General features: G+C 39.4%; 1 protein-coding gene across 7 annotated transcripts in view, besides 1 other annotated feature; it reads left to right on the top strand.

Moving 5' to 3' along the window:
- The window catches only part of SERAC1 (serine active site containing 1), a 58,744-nt gene extending 37,406 nt beyond the window's left edge, over window positions 1–21,338 (top strand). For 5 of the 7 annotated variants that reach the window (XM_006715586.4, NM_032861.4, XM_047419421.1 and 2 more), the window contains 9 exons: window positions 371–484; window positions 2,587–2,749; window positions 10,282–10,432; window positions 11,687–11,828; window positions 13,036–13,130; window positions 14,575–14,672; window positions 15,886–16,068; window positions 17,265–17,408; window positions 19,355–21,338. In XM_006715586.4, the coding sequence (XP_006715649.1) occupies window positions 371–484; window positions 2,587–2,749; window positions 10,282–10,432; window positions 11,687–11,828; window positions 13,036–13,130; window positions 14,575–14,672; window positions 15,886–16,068; window positions 17,265–17,408; window positions 19,355–19,491 (1,227 nt within the window). In that variant the 3' untranslated portion in view covers window positions 19,492–21,338. Of the gene's footprint in view, window positions 1–370; window positions 485–2,586; window positions 2,750–10,281; window positions 10,433–11,686; window positions 11,829–13,035; window positions 13,131–14,574; window positions 14,673–15,885; window positions 16,387–17,264; window positions 17,409–19,354 lie in introns of those variants that run through there. The other 2 variants (NR_073096.2, XR_007059349.1) reach the window with 2 other exon arrangements.
- Window positions 10,554–10,754: a silencer, noted in NCBI's record as "peak6269 fragment used in MPRA reporter construct". NCBI's record gives its function as "represses an SCP1 promoter by STARR-seq MPRAs in K562 erythroleukemia cells {active_cell/tissue: K562}" and the evidence as "EXISTENCE:reporter gene assay evidence [ECO:0000049][PMID:32103011]".

The following is a 21,726-nucleotide window of genomic DNA, read 5'->3' as shown; positions in this document are numbered from 1 at the left end:
ATTAGCAGAATCTGGAAAATAATATACTGTAGTGACTACTGGGGGCTGAAAGAGATGACACTAGAACATCCTGGGCTTTTCTTACTTGTTAAAAGAATTGTGAGTTAGTCTTCACACTTTCATACAAAAGGACACAGAGGAGAGACTTGACGAGGACACAGGTTGCGCTCTTCTTGGAATAATTTGTATGTTTTCTATTCTGATAACCCACAGTTTGCATAAAGTTCCTTTTACATTTCCAACATATTTTGAGGCCCTACACATTAGTATTTTCTAACACCATCTATTAGTACAGAGATTTCTTTTTTTTTGTCAAACAAAAATATTAGTCACTTTTTTTCAGTAAAAATTTTAATTATTTTAATTTCAGGGTGGTTTATGGTGTTTTGGAGGAAATGGACTTCCTTATGCTGAAAGTTTTGGAGAAGTTCCTTCAGCAACAGTGGAAATGTTCTGTTTAGAAGCTATAGTAAAACATTCTGAGGTAATTTACATTTTCAAAATGTAGTTTACTTTTTATGATTTTATTGAAATAATTATATAGGTTGATTTTTGCAAGGGCAATAATCATTTACTGTAAAAGGAGAAAAGCCCTTCACTTATTTTTAAATTTCTGCTTTCCTCCAATTTTAATTGTTAGAATAATCATGATTTAGCACCAATAAATGAGATTCTATTTTGCTAAGTATTTCTAAAAATTTATTTAATTGCCTAAAAGAAAGCAGCCTATCATCTAAATGTGGCATTTGCCTTTGAGTTATGTTGTCTTCTACTGCCTTTCTCAGATATTTTTACATATTATTTTCAGATAATTTCCATTAAAACAACTGCCAAAGATGTGACAGGATAAAAGAAAAAACAGGCTGGGCGCGGTGGCTCACGCCTGTAATCCCAGCACTTTGGGAGGCTGAGGCGGGTGGGTCACCTGAGGTCAGGAGTTCAAGACCAGCCTGGCCAACATGGTGAAACTCCGTCTCTACTAAAAATACAAAAATTAGCCAGGTGTGGTGGTGCGCACCTGTAATCCCAGCTACTTGGAGGCTGAGGCAGGAGAATCGCTTGAACCTGGGTAGCAGAGGTTGCAGTGAACTGAGATTGTGCCACTGCACTGCAGCCTGGGCGACAGAGCAAGACTCCATCTCAAAAAAAAAAAAACAAAACAAAAAAAAACAAGGAAATATTAGATGACTATACTCTTGAAGTGTAACTGTAGCATATATCAATGATTGTTAAACTCTTTGGTACCATAGAAACTTTTCTGTCATGATGATAGTTTAAAAAAGAAAAAAGCAACAAACCTTGTAGTGCTCATAGTGCAGAAACATCACCCAGGAAATGTGTTTTAAAATGCACATTTTTCCACTCACTTGTATCAAGTTTAACATCATAGATTTGGTGTGGAGTCCAGGAATTTGCATTTGTAGCCAGCACCCTGGTGAGGTGAATGCAGGTGATCTGTCCCACATCAAGACAAACACCATCCTTGAGATTCGGAACTCTCCAGTTCAGTTTTGGGACACATTGGACATGGCTTAAAAGCCATGTGTAGAAAGTCATCTTTAGTTCTCGCCCATGAAATTAGGAACTGACCACAAAGCAGAGGGAATAAGGTGTTGTAGTACAGAAGGGACCTGGGAAAACTTGCTCGAGTGTGGTGTCTCCTGAGTTGTTTTTCTGAAGCAATAGCTGCATCTTCAGTAGAAAGGACAGTGCATGGAATATAATAGTTATCTTTCCAGAAATCTCTGAAATTATTGCAGATCTCACTTGATATACAGTATATTTAAAAGGCATACATTTTAAGGCACTTAAAATGTGATATAATGTAACAAAAATCTAGAAAGTGAAAATTGCTGTATGTACATATGGTGTCATGTCCTTGAGTAAAACTAGTGATGGGAAGAGGCAAAGCTGTGCCCAGTGACATTAGAAAGACTGACTTGTTGGTCAGTTCTCTTCCCTTAACTCAATATGCATGTTTTCTTTTTCTTTTATCTGTTTTCTCCATTAAAACTTCAAATCCCTTTTTATTTTTACCTGATCTTTCTCTTTTAAAAAATCTTCCAACTTCTAAGTTTGAGGCCAGCCCCATAGCTGTGGGCATTGTGTGGGATAGGGTGTGGGGCCACAGAGGTCACTGGTCTCGCCCTGTGTGAGTCCTTGTTTGCTGAATGAAATCTGTTCGCTTGCACAGGGGACTATTTCCTGAGAATAGGTGGCAGATTTTTCAAGGTGAGAACTGTTTTAAGGTAATTTCAAGTCAAAGTGTCACTATAAATTGAAACAATTTTGTAATAATGACATTGTCAGGTTACATCCAACCAAGAGCTAAGCAGAATGAGAATAATGATTTTAGTAGTCCTGGTGAGAGATGCCTTCTTGGGATTTTTTCTATGATTTTGAAGCACTTCCCACTTAAATAGGGATTTGCTTATTTAAGCAAGCTGAGACAAGAGCTTTGAGGAGTCTCCCTGCATCCCTGCCCTTGAGTGGGAGCTACCTAGCTGTCCCCATGACCAGGCTGTGTCATCTCACGTCATGAATTTGTACAATGTCAAGGGAGCTTCTGTTTATTTATTGTGCCAGATATCCACACATTGTGATAAAATCGAAGCAAATGGAGGCCTGCAGCTACTTCAGAGGCTGTACCGACTTCACAAGGACTGCCCTAAAGTACAGAGAAATATAATGCGTGTCATTGGAAATATGGCTTTGAATGAACATCTTCATTCTTCTATAGTTCGCTCAGGTAACAGCTTTATATACTGAGTATTTTTTACTTTGTTCTCCCACCTCTACCCCTCATGATATGTTCATTTTTCTTTTTTTTTTTTTTTTTTTTTTTTTTTAAATTTATTTTTTTATTGATAATTCTTGGGTGTTTCTCACAGAGGGGGATTTGGCAGGGTCATGGGACAATAGTGGAGGGAAGGTCAGCAGATAAACAAGTGAACAAAGGTCTCTGGTTTTCCTAGGCAGAGGACCCTGCGGCCTTCCGCAGTGTTTGTGTCCCTGATTACTTGAGATTAGGGATTGGTGATGACTCTTAACGAGCATGCTGCCTTCAAGCATCTGTTTAACAAAGCACATCTTGCACCGCCCTTAATCCATTTAACCCTGAGTGGACACAGCACATGTTTCAGAGAGCACAGGGTTGGGGGTAAGGTCACAGATCAACAGGATCCCAAGGCAGAGGAATTTTTCTTAGTGCAGAACAAAATGAAAAGTCTCCCATGTCTACTTCTTTCTACACAGACACGGCAACCATCCAATTTCTCAATCTTTTCCCCACCTTTCCCGCCTTTCTATTCCACAAAGCCGCCATTGTCATCCTGGCCCGTTCTCAATGAGCTGTTGGGCACACCTCCCAGACGGGGTGGTGGCCGGACAGAGGGGCTCCTCACTTCCCAGTAGGGGCGGCCGGGCAGAGGCGCCCCTCACCTCCCGGACGGGGCGGCTGGCCGGGCAGGGGGGCTGACCCCCCCACCTCCCTCCCGGACGGGGCGGCTGGCCGGGCAGAGGGGCTCCTCACTTCCCAGTAGGGGCGGCCGGGCAGAGGCGCCCCTCACCTCCCGGACAGGGCGGCTGGCTGGGCGGGGGGGCCGAGATATGTTCATTTTTCAATAGACAAGGCTCTACTTAGGGTTAGTTATGGGTCCTTAGAACATGTTATTTTGGTAGAGGCAAGGAATTGCTTGAGATTGTAGATAATCTGCGCCTAAGATAATCAGTATTGTAGATGATCATAGGAGAGCAGGTTTGCCATGATGATCATCTAATTATTTATGTAATTTTTTTTTTTTTTTGAGAGAATCTCACTGTGTTGCTGAAGCTAGAGTGCAGTGGTGTGGTCATAGCTCACTACAGCCTTAAACTCCTAGGCTCAATGGATCCTCCCACCTCAGCCTCCCGAGTAGCTGGGACTACAGGCACGTGCCATTGTGCATGGCTAATTTGAAAAACTTTTTGTAGAGACGGGGGTCCTACTTTGTTGCCTAGGTTGGTCTCGAACTCCTGGACTCAAGTGATCCCCCTGCCTTGGCCTCCCATAGTGTTGAGATTACCATGCCTGGCCTGTAATTTTTGATGTGATTTGGTTAACCAAGAGGCATAGTCAGACTAAAAAGAGATTCATTTTATGATTAATGATTTTCCCTCTTGCAAGTAATAAACCAGCTGTGGGGAGATACTTTAAGACCAAGCAAATATCCTGCTTTCTATCCTCTGACAGTTCCTGCCCGATCTAGTCTTTACCATAATGGTTTTAAAATGATTTTCTAGCTCCAGCACACCCTCTGCAGTTACTTTTTAGCATTTGGCATTCTACTGGAAGCAAGAGTCCTTCTCTTTCCCTCCTCCCTCCCTCCATCTCCTCCCTCCCTTCTATGGACAGGTACATGAATTCCTATTTTTAAAAGTTTATAATTTATTGCTGTACTTAATAATTTGGTGCCAAATTGTTCCAGCTTTGACTAATGGGAGCCCCAGCAAACTGGCCCATGTCCTTTATGATATGCCCACATTATTTTGGGGAGGCATTTCTTATTTCCTGGTATAACAAGATATTTTAGGTTCATTTCTCTGAAGAAACCTCTATACTTTTAGTGGAGAATGATTCTTAGAGACCAAGGTCTAAATGATAGGAGTGCATATTGCTCCTGGGGTGTCTTTGCTTCTTGCCTCTTTCACTAGAAAGAGCTGGATAATACATACACACATATATATATAGATATACATACATACACAAATATGTGTAAATGTATATGTACACATATATGTGTGTTGTGGGATGGAAGATATACTTTCAACACTTACTAATGTAATTATTGATATCGTTTGGTTATGTTGGTCATCTTGCTCTTTGCTTTCTATTTGTCCCTCTTTTTCTTCTTTTTTCTGACTTCTTGTATTACTTGAGTGTTTGTTTTTAAATTCTGTTGTTTCTCCTCTTTTGGCTTTTTATACTGTGTTTGTGTGTTTAATGGTTGTATCCTTACAGTCTACTTTGAATTAAGATTATGCCATTTCATATGATGTAAGATCCTTACAACCCCATAATTCAGTTCACATCCCCTGCCATTCTTTGTGGTATTGTTGTAATATGTTTTACTCTTATTTATAGACTTCACAATACATTATCATTGTTATTATTATTTTTTGAGACAGGGTCTTGCTGTGTTGCCCAGGCTGTCCTCAAACTCCTAGGCTCAAGTGATCTTCCTACCTTAGCCTCACGAGTAGCTGGGAGTATATGTTTGGGCCACTGTGCCTGGTTACATTGTTGTTATTTATAATAGTTGCTTTAGTTCATTTTGTGCTGCTGTAACCTGAGGCTGTATGTTGGAGGCTGGGTAATTTATAAATAACAGATTTATTGTGTCTCAGTTCTGGAGGCTGGGAAGTTCAAGATCAAGGTTCTGGCCATTGGTGTCTTGTGAGGGCCTCATTGTTTTATCGTCACATGGCAGAAGACTGAAGGGCAAGCTAGCCTGCATGTTGCATGAAGCCTCTTTTATTTTTTTATTTAAAAATTTTTGAATTTAAAATTTTATGTACATGATAGTTGTACATATTTATGAGGATGTAAATATGTAGTGATATTTTGATACAAGCATACAATGTGTAGTGATCAAGTCAGGGCAGTTGGGATAGCAATCACTTCAAACATGAATTAATTCTATTAATGTGGGAGGAACACTGATGGCCCAGTCACCTCTTAAAGGCTCACCTCTTCATACTGTCACATTGGCAACACTTGAATTTTGGAGGGGACACATTGAAACCATAGGAACAGTCGTGTGACATTTAAAGAATATAAGAAATCAAAAATCTTTTTTGTTTGCATATTTATAATCTCCAGTGCTCTCCCTTTTTTCTGTATATATGGATTTACATCTGATAATATTTCTCTTCAGCCTAAAGACTTTCCTTTAGTATTTCTTGTGTATTGGGTCCACTGGCAACAAATTCTCTCACCTCATTATTTGAAAATGTCTTTAATTTGCCTTTATTTTATGTCCAGGAAAAGGTATCTTCCCTGGATAAAGTATTCTTTGTTGAGTGTGTATGTGTGTGTGTGTGTGTGTGTGTGTGTGTGTGTGTGTGTGTTTTCCAGCATTTCTAAAATGTCATTCCACTCTCTTCTGGAGTCCATTGTCTGATGAGAAGTCTCTTTGAATTCCCACTTTTGTTCTCTTATACGTAATATCTTTTTTCCTCTGGCTTCTTTTAAGATCTTTCTGTTTGATTTTTGACTCTGAAATGCCTAGGTGTCATATTTATCCTGCTTGAGCTCCACTGAACTGAGAGAATTAACATATGCATTACCTTATACATATCATTTTTTGTGGTGAGAACATTTAAAATCTATTCTGTCAGCAATTTTCAAGAATACAATACCTTGTATTGATGGGTTGGTGTTTTTGATCAAATGTAGAAACTTTCCTGCCAGTATATCATCCAATATTTATTCTTTTGTCCTTTTTTATTCTTATCTTTTTCTGGAACTTCTGTTATGTATATTAGATCTCTTTTTTCTGTCCTGCAGGTTATTGAGATTCTATTCATTATGTTTAAATTTTTTCCTCTGTGCTTTACTTTGGATGGTTTCTATTGACCTATCTACAGGTTCATTGATGAGGTGGAGACTAAGGGATTCAAAGCAGGACAAAGACCTGATCAAATCAGTATCTTATTATAGAAAAAAAAATGACTCTTCTCTGAAACCTGGGTCTACCCCAAGTCTTCAGTCCTCTTATCTCCTGGATAGCCCACTCACCACCTTGGCCTCAATTCCATGACCTTCTCATCTTCATTGATTTCCTGCTCTGCTCCTGAGTTGTCTAGTACTCTACTCCTAAGTCATACATTGAACCTAATCACTGCCTGAAACCACTTCACCTAAAAATCAGCCCTGAGCACATCCTTCTTTCATTCAAGCTTGTTTTTGCATCTACCCCATAAGGACTGGTTTTCTTCTCTATTGAAATCTTCTATCCACAGACCCCTTTATCCTCTCCCAATCCATCACTCTTTTTATTCTTTACTTCCTCCCTGAACCCAGCTTATATTCCATGGTCTGTTATTTCAGTAATATTTTTGCCAGTACCTACAACTCCCTTTCCCTTTGATCCTGTTACCAGTCTCTTGGTCAAGACCTTGATGAAACCTACTGCCTGCTTACTACTCTGTGGCTGAACGTGGAATCATTGCAGATTGGTTGTCAGCATGCTTATGAGATCACAAATTAAAGAACCTTCAATATTGCTCAGCAATTATGTTTCTCCAATCAGCTACCTTAACATTCTTAGCAATGACTATTGTAAACCTTCTACGTGTTCCTTAAACCTTCCACATATTCCTTCCTCTCAGAGGATGACTTCTCCTCCTACTTTACTGAGACAATTGAAGCCCTAAAAGGAATTTTCTCACTAACAAAAACCAAACCCTGTTCTTTCCTTTTCTTGGTAATAGGAAAAGAGACACCTCTTTTATAAGCCCTCCAGCCATGTTTGGGCCTGTCTCCTTTCACAGTCTCAGGAATGTATACTTTTTTCTGGTCTCATGGTCAGCTGCTGCCTCATAGCTGGACCCTCTGATCACATACATTGGAGGAAGATGTGAAAAACATAATCTGCATCCCCTATAACATCCTGTCCTCCCTGTTATAGCTAAACTTCTGAAAGAGTTACCTACATATACCTTCTTTTTGCTCAGCCTTCATTACTTCTCAGTACTCCAATTTGAATTCTGCTAACTTGCCCTGTGTTTTTTTCTCTTTAGGCATCCTGTGTCTTTCCCTCTTTTTATATATTTTGTATCAATCTTAGTATCAGATCTGCAGATTTTTGCCTTCAGATTTACAAAAGTTGGAGCAACCTAAATGTCTGCCAATAGGAATGAATAGTGGTTAAACAATGGCGTACTCATGTGACGTAATACTATAGTTCAAAGGAATGAAGTTGATATATATAGAGAGCTCTCCAAGACATACTGCTGAAGTACAGACACAGAACAGTAGTATGATTCCATTTAGGTTTCAAAAAGTGCACATAGAGCTACATTTTTCTTTTTCTTTGAGACAGCGTCTCACTCTGTTGCCCAGGCTGGAGTGCAGTGGCGCTATCTTGGCTCCCTGCAACCTCCACCTCCCGGGTTCAAGTGATTCTCATGCCTCAGCCTTCTGAGTCGCTGGGATTACAGGCGCCCACCACCACACCCGGCTAATTTTGTAATTTTAGTAGAGATGGGGTTTCACATGTTGGCCAGGCTGGTCTTGAACTCCTGACCTCAAGTGATCTGCCTGCCTCAGCCTCCCAAAGTGTTGGGATTACAGGCATGAAACACCACGCCTGGCCCATTGTATGTGTTTAAATTATAGATATATGACTATATTTTTCAAAAGGGTGTCCACCAAACTTCTACCTTTCATTACTCTGAGGATGTAAATGGAGTTGGGAAATTATGGGAGTACTAAAGCAAGACTTTCATCATTAGATGCTACTTTTAGTTATTTCATTATTTTTTACAGTTAACATGTACAGACATGCATTGCTTAATAGTGGAGAAACATTCTGAGGAATGTATCGTTAGGCAGTTTTGTCACTGTGCAAACATCGCAAAGTATACTTACACAAACCTGGATGGTAGCACCTATTCCACACCTAGGCTGTATGGGACAGCCTATTGCTCCTAGGCTCCAAACCTATACAGCAGGTTACTGTACTGAACACTGTAGACAGTTGTAACACAATGGGAAATATTTGAGTATCTAAACACAGCTAAACATAGAAAAGGCACAGCAAAAATACTGTACTATAATCTTATGGGATCACCATAGTATTTGTGGTTCATTGTTGACTGAAACATTATTATGTGTTTTGCATGAGTGCATTCAGATGTTATATAATTTTAAAATGCTCAATGTTAAAGAAGTAAGTTTTCCAAAGGGCATTTGATATTTTTCAAAGGTGGAGTATCTCGGACATTGTGAACATATTTTGTCAACTGAAAAAAGCCAGAGATGGCTTGTACCATGCTTTTTCTTGTGACTTCATTAAAAATAAAGCCGTATTTTCATATATACCAATAACATACTTGTCTATCTCTATAGATATAATTTTTAAATATTCTTATTTTATTATTTTAAAATCTTTAACAGATTTTGAAGAGGAATCTTCTGATGTTATAAATTTGAATATTGTTAAGTACTGAGTCTGAAGCTTCTTTTAGGTTATTAAATGCTAGCTTCCCATCATCACAGTGACTCAACACTTTTGTCGTAAAGAGTGGGAGAAGGGCATGGGGACAGCTGTCGTGTATTGAGTGCCTGCTGGGCCTGGGCCCACGGTTTTCACATACATTAGTTTATTAAAACCTTCCTCTAGTTCAGTTGCTAAATAACTTGACTGAGGTTCCAGAGCAAGTAAGGAGGGAGCAGAAATGTGAGCCCAAGTCTAACTTCAAGGCCCATATTCTGCTTTATTTTAAATTAAATAAATTATATAAATAAATACATAGATTTTTCACCGTACTTCAGAAAATAGATATAGCGAAAAAGCTAAACATACGTTTTTTACAGAGCCCTCTTCTACCCTATCTCTCTCCTAAAAGGTAACGACTTTATAAGTTTAGTGTATAGATCTTTGTGTGTTTGTGTATGTGTGTGCACATGTACTTTTATATTTATGTATATAAAGTTTTAAAAACAAAAACATTAAAAAAAAGAAATCATAGCATAGATAGTATTATCCATGCATTTTCTGTTTGCCTCCCTTTAAAAAATGTTTTTTCCTTCCTGATCTCCAGATTCTACAAGAGTTTTGTGTCTCAAATTCATTGTTAAGAAATAGTTTCTTCATTTGTATGAAAGGGTATTACTGATTGCTGGTCAGGATGAAATAACTAGTATTAACCCACTGAGTTTCATAATTCTTGTTAAAAGCAAAACATCATGGTATTTTGTTCACTTTTGTGAACACCTCTATAACTGCTATGAACACCTCTATAATTGGTATTAGTGTTAGGCTTTCTAAATAAAGAAAATGGCTCTTCAACCCCTCTTTCCTTCTTTGAGGTCCCTTAAGGGGTATGTGGATGGTATTGTGCCACAGGTCTCAGAGGATCGTAGGGCAGAATGGGGTTGGAATAGTCGGACTTCTCCGCCAAGGACAGACACGCAAGGTTTGCCTTTCTCCCATCATATTCAGTTTGAAACCTCACTCTCTCTGTGGTCTGCGATGGATTCACATCAGTATTTAGGATATGTGTACTTTTCACCAGGCTGGGTTTCCATCATGGCAGAAGCAATGAAATCTCCCCACATTATGGAGTCCTCACACGCTGCCAGAATCCTGGCAAATCTAGACCGAGAAACTGTGCAAGAAAAATATCAGGATGGCGTATATGTGCTGCATCCCCAATATCGAACAAGGTAAGGAAGCAGAAGAGAGTTGCTTTGTCCCCTTTGGAAATGTGAAGCCTAGAGGCCTCAAATTTTTAACTTATTTCTGCATAATTCAGATAAGTTAAATAACTTATAAGTCAAATATCTTATTTACTAAAATAATTTGTCTATAGTAACCACAAAAGAATTGGAGGTTGTCATGAAAAGTATGTGAACTAGCTAAATTGTCATGGTTATTTTACAAAGGGCTTCCCTTCAGTTAGGTGGCATTCACATTTGATAATGCGTCACACTTAAACTTTGTAATACATATCTCCTTTGGTTCAAGGCATTTTCACTTAGATCTGAGTTAATAACTGATTTGGATTGTAGAAGTCAGCTGAATAGGAAGGAGATAAGACATTGTCTTATGTGGCAACCAAATTAGCCTGGGCCTAGAACTCAAGGGACTGGAGAAAGTTTATGCTAGTTATAAAAGGATGCATTAGAAAGAATAAGTTGTAATAAGTTTGACTCATGCCCCTTCTTAAGGTTATTTGTGGTCATTATATCTAGTTGTATAATTGCTAAGACAATAAATATAGAAGGGACCACACTGAAAAAATAACATATTTCTTGGTTTTCTTAGGGCACTTTACAAAAAGTACCTCAGAAAATAGCAAAAACTTTTAAATTAAAAAGTGGATTACCTGGTTAATTACAATTTGTAAATAAAATATTATGGTTATATATGTGCATTGCATAATTGTATGTGTACTGTAAATAGCTTGCAACTAACATACTATCTACAGTTTTTAATGCGTCATATGCAATGAGTGAATGTTACTTTGAAATCTCATTTTATAAGTATTAGTTTCCTTAACACATTTTTGAAAATCTCTTTTATATATACTGACTTTGAAACTGTTATTAGCACGTTCTTCTTTAATTTCTTAAATACTTTTATTGATTTGTAGAATATTCTCAAATGGAAGTCTTTAGAGGGTAATCTATGACATCTGTCAGTTGATTGATTGCTAAGCTCATTACAATTGATTGTGGTTGGTCTGCCTGACTAGAATAGTCTCCATTTTTAGAGAACAGTGAACATGCTTCATGTATGTCTTTGCCAAAGCTCCTTCTAGGTTTTCCCAGCAAACCTGTGCTTATAGAGCTTGCTTTAATTCAGTTTTATGTCACATAAGCCTGCTAAAGCACCATCCACAGAGAATGCTGTGTAGATTCTTACCAAAGCAGTAATGCATTTATTCTGCTTCTTTTTAAAACTCTCTCCCCTATTAGTCAGCCCATTAAAGCAGATGTCCTTTTTATTCATGGCCTTATGGGAGCAGCATTCAAAACATGGCGCCAGCAGGACAGTGAGCAGGCTGTAATTGAAAAACCTATGGAGGATGAAGACAGATATACGACGTGCTGGCCCAAGGTAAGGGAGCCACTGACTCTGGCCCTGGTTGCTGGGGCCCTGGTTGCTGGGGCCCTGATTGTGGCTTGCTTGTTTTTCTCTTTGTTCTGGGATTTTTTTCCCATGCAGTTCTTCTTTCCCTTAGGGAGATTTGTAGTATGTTTTGACAACAACTGGGCTTGTCACCCTATGTTGTATAATTTCCATTTGGGGTGCAGTGTATGACTCAAAAAATATTCTATTAAGTAAAAAATAGGGGCAAGAGCCAGTAATAGTTCACTTTTGTTGTAATATAATACAAAAATAACATAACAATACTTACATTTATAATAGTTACCTAATTCTATGACCTTAATAATTACAAAAATAGAAAGTCTTTGAAGAAGTAATTATACTTTGCATTTCTTTCCTTCTTTTTTTTTTTTTTTTTTGAGATGAGGGTCTCATTTTGTCACCCAGACTGGAGTGCAGTGGTGCGATCCTAGCGCACTGCAGTCTCAACCTCCCAGGCTCAAACAGTCATTCCCCCTCAGCCTCCTGAGTAGCTGGGACCACAGGCACATGCCATCATGCCTGGCTAATTAATACTTTACATTTCTTTGATACTATTTCTCCCAAAGAACCTTAATTCTGGAATGAATTCATTGAATGGAATTTATCTAAAGCTCATTTAAAAGTGATGCTGCATATACGTGTGAATAGTTTTTAGGGCATTGTTCCATTACTACTTATTCTCCTTCACAAAGGCTTATCAAGTAGAAGAATGATTTGCACTTTCTGGTGGCACTGAAGTACAGAGATGATGATAGACCTAGGGTATACAGAGATAGAACTGTGATGATTATTATTAGTGTCTCTGAATTCTCAGATCCAAAATCTGTCAGACTATGCCATCTGTCCTGAGATTATAGCATTCTACTAAATTCTTTCAAAAAGCCAACTTGATCTAGACTTTAAAACAGGCCTTGCTTTTGGCTATAGCAGCTTAAAATGGAAAATATTCTCTTGAAACCTTCATTGGCCTTATGCTATAAATACTGGTACCACTTCGAGACCAGAGACTTGAAAAGATAGTGCTGGAATTGTTTTTACGGTACCTTCAAACCTTATTCCAGTGCTATCTTTAATTATAGTGCAAGAGGCCTTTAGTTATAAATTTGATTTACTAGGCAGTAATTGCAGTGGTGAAGATTCATACTTGTTCTCACATATGTTTTATTTTACTTAGACATGGTTAGCAAAAGACTGTCCTGCTCTCCGAATTATATCTGTGGAGTATGACACCAGCCTCAGCGACTGGAGAGCAAGGTGCCCTATGGAAAGGTAACAGAGGCGACTTTAGACCAGGAGGACAGGGAAGAATTCAGGCCGCAAGTTTAGGTCCTCTTGGATGGGAAGTGATTTTAATTTTTTGATGCCACAGACAGGATTTTCTTATGAAGAACAAACCTAATCTTTTTTGTCTTCCTTCTAGAAGGAGTTTGCTGTCAATAAGCAGTGGAATAGTAGAAGGCTTAGGTATATCACCAATGGTGGGCTCCTAACATGGTTTATTTACAACTGTTCTAATAGTGAAGGATCGTGGATTGTCTAGCAGTCTCCTTTTCTATCAGAAGTAAAAGTGATGTTTTTTTGTTCTTGTGTCCACAATCATACTGGCTAAAGGAAGCAAAGAGAAAGATGCTGAGAAATATCAGCTGCTATTTCCCTTGTATGTCATCTGTGCCAGTTGTATACATGGGAAGGAGTGCTGGATTTCAGAGTTACTGGACTGAGAGTAGCCGGATCCTACCTTTGATTTGCTGTGCAGTCTTAGACCAGTCAGTTAACTTTTCCGGGAAGCTTTGTCTACAGATTGACAGAGTTGGTCTAAATCAGTGTTATCAAACTGCTTTCTGAATGAACCTCCCGTAGGTGCCCAAGAAGGGTGTCAAGGTGAGCAGGCAAGACCCCAGGTCTCCCTCCCCATTTCACCCAGAGGAGCTCTGGAGAACCTTTATTTTGAAGAAATGTGTCTACAAATAAACAGTTTGAAACTACCAGACTAGATAGTTTTGAAGTTCCTCTTTAGTTTAAAAATTACTTATTTCGAATTCTGATTCTATTAGCATCCTGTTTATGCTAGTTATAAAAGCATGCATTGGAAGGAATAAGTGCTAATAAACTTGACTCATTCTAGTTTTTCTAAATAGCACCCTAGTATTTCTAAAGAATAAACCAAAATTATGAAAGCTTAATATTTTTGCAGCCTAACTACCAGTAGAGAGACCACAGTCTTTGGTGATACTTTCATTGTCAGGCCTTGGATGAAAAAGGACATCCATATCCTAAGTGTTGGAGGGCAGTTGCAGGGAGACCCACATTTGACCCGAAAAAATTGCCTGACACAGGTGCTCCAACAATGTTCATGCAGTAAATGAATGGCCTGTTCTGGGCTTAGATATTCCTAATTAGGCCAATGTTAATAAGTTACAAATAGAGAATTAACGATTTCAGGAATTGAGCAGAGAGATCCCAGGCGTGGTGGCTCATGCCTATAATCCTAGTGCTTTGGGAGGCCGAGGTGGGAGGATTCCTTGGGGCCAGGAGTTCAATAAGAGAGAATAGGGGTATTTTATATTAAGCAGAGAGAATGGGGGTATTTCTTACTCTAAATGTAGTATGTAGCATTGGTCCTGTAGACTAAAGTTCTTAACTCTAAAAATTAGACAGCAAATTGAGGGGATCGATAGCCTTGTGTCATGCCTGCTGTTTTTGTTTTGTTCAGAAAGTCCATTGCATTCAGAAGCAACGAACTTCTTAGGAAGCTCAGAGCTGCTGGTGTTGGGGATAGGCCAGTGGTTTGGATATCACATAGCATGGGAGGTAAGTGTGGCTTCAACTTTGTGAAGTGGCCATTGTGATGTTATTTTCAGCCACTGTGGCCAACCTAAAGTTATTTTATCTTTCCATTTTACTTAATAGCGGCTCCCTTACCCCCCCTGCTAAATTAATCTGTGTAGCTATGGCTAGGACTTTTAAAATTACTACTCTTGTTCCATGCTGTTCCTTTCTCTAGAAAAGGGCAACCTGTTACAAATCATCTAAGAGGGATATGGGTTTGACAGCGTAGTGCTTTCACATAGCGGTAATGAATAAACATGAGAAGCAGCCCGTTTCATATACACCCACCTCGTCAACATGCCTCAGCATTCTTGGGTGGCCCCAGGGGTGCCCCTTTATTCTTCCTGCTCCCCCTCACCATTGCAGTCTATGGTCGCTTTAGTGCCCACAGTCCCAGACTCTGGGTGCCTGCTCACACCAGGCCCAGAGCTGCTGAGGTACAGGTGTGATCAAGTGTCTGTTCTTGGGGTCCTAGTGGTTGCTTATGGAATGGCCTCCCCTGTGTGCGACTCCCCCAGTCCACTTTGAAATTTTCACCACCCACCTTGCAGAAGGCCTTTCTGCAGCCCGTGGCCTAGTTTATCTGATGAAGCACTCAGGATTGCCTCTGAGGTGGGGATTTTTGCTGAGACAAAGGTGGGTGTAGCCCTTCGTGTCCTCAAAGACCTACTGTCATCATCCTTTAGATCTTTGTGTTTCATTATCGGTTCCAAAGCCGGGGCAGGGGGATGGAAGAAAAGGTGCCTCCAGAGGAACAGTTCCCATGAAAGCTGTGTTCTCCATGGGGGACTGTGTGCTGTGGAATAGTAGCACTGTCCTGACAGTGTGGTCATCAGCGGTCTGCCATAGCAGGCTGAGAGACCAGCCACACCACGCTCATGTCCTGAGGGAGCTCCCAGCTGGGCATACCTCATGTTCCTGCACTGGGACAGTAGATCCTGTGAGACAAGGCTCTGCCCTACAAATGAGTTTCTAGAATCCCTGTTTGTAGGCTTGCACTATAAGGATCAGGAGTATTATTAAGTGTTTTAAGGCCTTATTTCTTATACTACTGTACAGAGAATTGTTTAAACCATTTTTTTTAAAAAGAAAGCATCTCTTTTTATGTATTTCTTGTTTGGCCTTTTCTTTTTTTACAGTAATAAAGGGAAGGAAAATAGCTTATGCATTGTTTTTTTCCCTTGTCTGTGGCTAGGTCTTCTTGTCAAAAAGATGCTGTTGGAAGCCTCTACGAAGCCAGAAATGAGTACTGTTATCAACAATACCAGAGGAATAATTTTTTATAGTGTCCCTCATCATGGATCACGTTTGGCTGAATACTCTGTTAATATTCGCTATCTTCTCTTCCCCTCGTTGGAAGTCAAAGAACTCAGCAAGGGTAATACTTTTTGTCATAAAGGAAATTGGGGTTATATTAACATCAGTTACACAGAGAAGAAGAAAAAGTTTCTTCCTTGAATGTATTATCTCATTTTATAATTTGTATATAATTGTGTTTAGACTATTCATGGAAATTTTGGGTTGGGCTTGATTTTTCTTTGATAATTTCTCATTTTGTTCTTAAGCCATTATTTACTCAAGCATTGTAATAATTTTAATATTATCTTAAATACTTAAAATTAGAAAAATAATCAGATAATGTTTTGCTTTTAAGTATTATTCCAAATTACCAATAAATGGCTTTTTTCCCCCATGAGTGGAGAATCATCAACTGTTAAAATGTAAATGAAACTTTGAGATTGTTAGTATTAATTTTAAAGTACTCTGGTTTGATAAGCAGTTTTCTCTCTGGAACACCTGTTAATCGGAATTTGGATTCCCTGGCTCGAGCCTAAATATACCAGGTGTCTTTTTGCTCCTATTTTCTCTTTGTTCTACTTTATGGAGAATCTCTTGATTTCTTCTAAACCTTCTGTTGGACTTTCCTTTCGTGGAGTCAGATTGTGTTTTCCGTACGTGCCTTCTTTCCTGTGCCCTGGTGGTTCTGCACTCATGTCCTCTTCTTGTTTTGTGGCTCCTTTATCTTTTCAAATAATTCTAAAGATCCTAAGTAGAAGGTTTGTGAGTTCCCTTCTACTCCTCATCTAGCTGTTTTTTTTCTGTGGCCAGCTTTTCTGTTTGCTTATCTGATCCATCTCTTTTAGGTCATAGGCCTATCTGGTGCCTCTTGGTTGCTCTTTCATATGTGAGGGTGAGGGATGGGAAGGGACAGGCATTCTGTGATTGTAGACAGGCTTTGTTGGTGGGAGGCTGGGCTTTGGGGTGGGTGTTGTGGTGCCATCATCACACTGGAGGACCCCTGTGGTCCCACACACCAGACTGCCCTGGGAACTGCTTCCTGCCCCCAGTAATGTGATAAACCCTCTCCTGCTGCTGACTGTCCTGTCGATTCTTGGTTTTAGCTTTTTCCTTGAATCTTAGTGGCTTCTTGGCAGGGGAGAAAATAAACATGTGTACTCAAGCCACCGTCTTGAATCAGAATTCTAATTTCCTCTCTAAATTTGAAAGATTAATGCATTTTATTATGAATTGGGTAAACAACTTGTCACAGTCTTGTTCTGTATAATTTTACAGATTCTCCTGCACTTAAAACACTACAAGATGACTTTCTGGAGTTTGCTAAAGACAAAAACTTCCAGGTGCTGAATTTTGTGGAAACACTACCAACCTACATTGGCAGCATGATTAAGCTCCATGTGGTACCTGTGGAATCAGCAGGTATTCACTCTTTTGAAACTTGTTGGCTGTTAGATGCTTAATTATACCTAGCATTTACTTGTAAACAGCAATTTTTATATCCAGGTTCTCAGTTTTAAGAGATAGTTTATGAAGGTCTAGATTTGATTTCTTTTATTCTTTTCAGCAATAGATTAAAATTTCTCTGTAAACATATAACCCGGGTATTACCTCTCCCTGCCCTTTATGTAACTGATTAGATGAGAAGGGTTAATTGGCTAACTCTAAGTTAGGCATCAACAGTGAACTCTTTTGCAGTAAAGAAAGCTCTTCTATCAGCTAGATCAAAAGGGGCATTTATTTAATAGACTTAGACTTATATTTACATGCAGAACCCTTAAGAAAATCATCTAAAAGTGTGGAAGCTTTCGTAAATAGAAGATCCATGGGGAATAGTAAAGCTCCAGAAATATTCCAGTGGGAAAAACTAGTGTTGAACTACAATCTCTTCATGATCCTGGGGTTGAGGGAAATGGCCAGTGCTTGCTCTCTAGTGTCATATAATGTATTATAGATTCTTTGAGGGAGGAGCCCAGATCTTAATTAACTCTCTTCATAGACTCCTCTGTTACTCTGTACATACTAGATACCCTGTACATTTCACCACCTGAACTGCTTTTGCCTCACCTGGCCATGTCTTCAGCTTGCCTGTTATCTCTGGGAACCCCTTTCTTACTGCCTCTGAGGCTGGCTTAGGTGCTGTTCTGGTGGTAGCCAGCCACATTGTGGGTCCTTCAGGCTAGGGACAGCATGCATCTGGAGTGCTTGCCAGATGGTTCTTTTGTCTACATAATGAGTTTTGTCCTAATTTCATTATATGCTATCTACATAAAATGAAAAATGTCATACTGTGTAGTAGAACTGAAAAATTTTACCTTAAAGTAATATGCTGTAGGTTGAGGAGTTACTATTTAGTAGTTGAAGAACTTGAAGAGTTCCAAAGAACAGCTGCCAGATGTTTTTAAAAAGGACTTTGGAAGCTTGAAGCAACAGCATAGTTTTTTGTTTTTGTTTTTAAGAGACAGGGTCTCACTTTGTCATCCAGGCTGGAGTTCAGTGGTATAATCATAGCTCATTGCAGCCTCGAACTCCTGGGCTCAAGCGTTCCTCCCACTTCAGCCTCCTGAGTAGCTGGGACCACAGGCGCACACCACCACACCTGTCTAAATTTTTAAATTTTTTGTATAAATGGGGTCTTGCTGTGTTGCCCAGGCTGGTCTCAAATTCCTGGCCTCAAGCAGTCCTCCTGCGTTGGCCTCCCAAAGTGCTGGGATTACTGGTGTGAGCCACTGTGCCTCGCCCAAAAGCAAAGTTAATATCATGGACCAGCTGCTTGGAGTGGCATAGCCTTGCCCTAATTCTGTCACCAAGAGGCTTTTCTTCCTTCATAACCACCACCTGCATTCCTCACCTAGGTGGCCTCACTAGTACCTCTTATCACTTCCGTGCGAGGGGACTTTGTTAGACCGAAATATCTCAAGCACTAAATCATTTTTACCCTGAAAGTGATTATTGGGATTTAGGTATAGAATGGATCCCATGTGAGACATTCCCATTCATTTCACCAGGAGAAAGGAAGTTTATAATAGAAACTCTGAAGTAACTTAGCAATAACCTGCAGGTGTAAGAAGGTTTTGAATATGTTAGTGCTCAATCTCTGCTTGCTCTGAAATAAGGAAGTAGGCCAGAACACATACGAAAAGTTCATGGAAAGCATAAAACTATGGTTCTACTGACTGAGAATCCCTTCCTGCATGTTTCATCAAATGTAGTTTAGCTGCAATCAAACTTCAGGTTCCTTTATCTTTTAAGAGTCCCTTGTCACAACCAAAGCAATGTCTAGAACTACCCATTCGGCCTCTTTCAGTATTGTCAAGGGGAAAGCTTATATTTTTACTTAGGTTTATTGACTTTTTTATTTTCTTCAGATTTAGGCATTGGAGATCTAATTCCTGTGGATGTTAACCATTTGAACATTTGTAAGCCAAAGAAAAAGGATGCTTTTTTGTACCAGCGTACTTTACAATTCATTCGTGAAGCTTTAGCCAAAGACCTTGAAAACTAACAGTTGTGCTCTTCCAGTTTTCATATGTGAATTCAGTGCAAGAAACTTGGTGTTCTGTTTCTTCTTTTAAGCTCTATGCAATCATGCAAACATAGTGATCATAGCGTCAACATGGTCTGGAGTGTGTTGCAGACTACAGAACATTGTTCTCCCTTCAAGCGCTGTAAAGCACCAACCCGGAAGTGGCAGGCACAGAAGGAAGGGCTGGATTGGGCCCCTTTGGTGTAAAGAAGTCCCTGTGTGCTGCTTTATGGTTCGCAGTGTTGGGCTTGGTGACTGGAGCAAAGCTGCTGTGAGAGAGTGTCCTTTCCCATCTGTGACTTTCCTGGTGCATCCAGGAGGGGCACGGCAGGTTCTGAGGTAACTCAACTTACCATAAAAATGCCATTAAGAGAGTACCTAAAATGGAGAGAAGAATGAACTAGAACATTCAAGACTCTTTTACTTCTGGGTATTGATTTGCTGTACATTTTTAAAGTTTGAGTTTTTAGCTCAGTTCTACCTTTTATCTGACACATTATTACTAGTGTTAACTTTGTTAGACTTATTGTCATGTCTGGGTCAGTTCCTTGTATCTATTTTCGTATTCCTGAGAACAAATCTTTTTCTTAGAAAAATTCTAGCTTATAATAATTCTTTTCAGACTGTAGCTGCCTATGCTTGGAATTTGTCCTAGATAAGGATAAAGTAGCTAATCCATTATTGATCACAGTATGAAGTAAAACTATTCTAAGCCATTATATGAATTAGCAATTCTTAGTATCAAGATTCTCAGATTCTCTTTGGCTAAATAAACCTTTCTTCTTCCTTGCTCATTTGCAAGTGGTATTAATTGACCTCTATAGCATGTGAGTAGTAGATAATCATGTCGATGACCTTTTTTTCTTTAGAGTAACAGCATTATTGAGATATAATTTACATACCATAAGATTCACCCTTTTAAATTATACAATTCATTTTTGTTTTGTTTTGTTTGTTTAGAGACAGGGTCTGACTCTGTTGCCCAAGCTGGAGTGCAGTGGCATGATCATAGCTCATTGTAACCTCAAACTCCTGGGCTCAAGAGATCCTTTTGCTTCAGCCTCCCAAGCAGCTAGGACTACAGGCACATGCCACCACACTTGGGTAATTAAAAAATAAATAAATACTTTTTTGTAGAGACAGGGTCTCACTGTGTTGCCCAGGTCTCAAACTCCCGATCTCAAGCCACCCTCCCAAAATGCTGTGATTATAGGCCAGAGCCATTGTTCCCAGGCTCAATTCATTGGTTTTTAGTATAGTTCACTGAGTTGTGCAACATCATTGCTATTTAATTTCAGGCTATTTCATCATCCCCAAAAGAACCCCATACCCATGAGCAGTCAGTTCCCACCTCTGCTTTCCCAAGCCTGCGGTAAACACTAATCTGTTTTCTGTCTCTATGGATTTGGGAATTTTATGTAAATGGAATCATACAATATGTGGCCCTCTCTGCCTTCTTCCTTCTATTAGCATGTTTTCAAGGTTCATTCATGATATAGCATGTATCAGTACTACTTCATTTCTTTTTATGGCCGAAATTACTCCATTGTATGATATGCCATGTTTCTTTATCCATTCATCAGCTGATGGACATCTAGGTTCTGTTCATTTTTGTCTATGATAAATAATGCTACCATGATCATTTGTGTACAAATTTATGTGTGGATAGATGTTTTTGATTCTCTTGGGTGGAATTGCTGGTCAAATGGTAAGTCTATGTTTAAATTTTGAAGATGGTGAACTTTTGTAGAATGAGATAGTCGAAGCTAAAACTGGAGTATGGCATCTGAAGGTAAATGGCTCATCAATAAACTCGATATCAACAATTAATTGTTTCATTGTACAACAACCTAGCAAAACCCACTTATTTATTGCTGTAGTAGACATAGCAAATATGACAGTTGCTAACAACGAATGTACTACCCAATGTGATAACATGGGGAGAAGGGGTAGATATGTTTAGTACATTTTTTCTCTTTTTTTTTTTTTTTGTTTTTGAGATAGAGTCTCGCTCTGTCACCAGGCTGGAGTGCAGTGGCACGATCTCGGCTCACTGCAACCTCCACCTCCCCAGGTTCAAGCGATTCTCCTGCCTCAGCCTCCTGAGTAGCTGGGAATACAGCCACGCGCCACCATGCCCAGCTAATTTTTGTATTTTTAGTAGAAACGGGGTTTCACCATGTTGGCCAGGACGGTCTCGATCTCTGGACCTTG

Source organism: Homo sapiens, chromosome 6 (assembly GCF_000001405.40).
Source record: "Homo sapiens chromosome 6, GRCh38.p14 Primary Assembly".
In the NCBI taxonomy this organism is placed as follows: Eukaryota; Metazoa; Chordata; class Mammalia; order Primates; family Hominidae; genus Homo; species Homo sapiens.
Note: the sequence above shows the minus strand (reverse complement) of the source record. Positions and strands in the feature narration are given on the sequence as shown.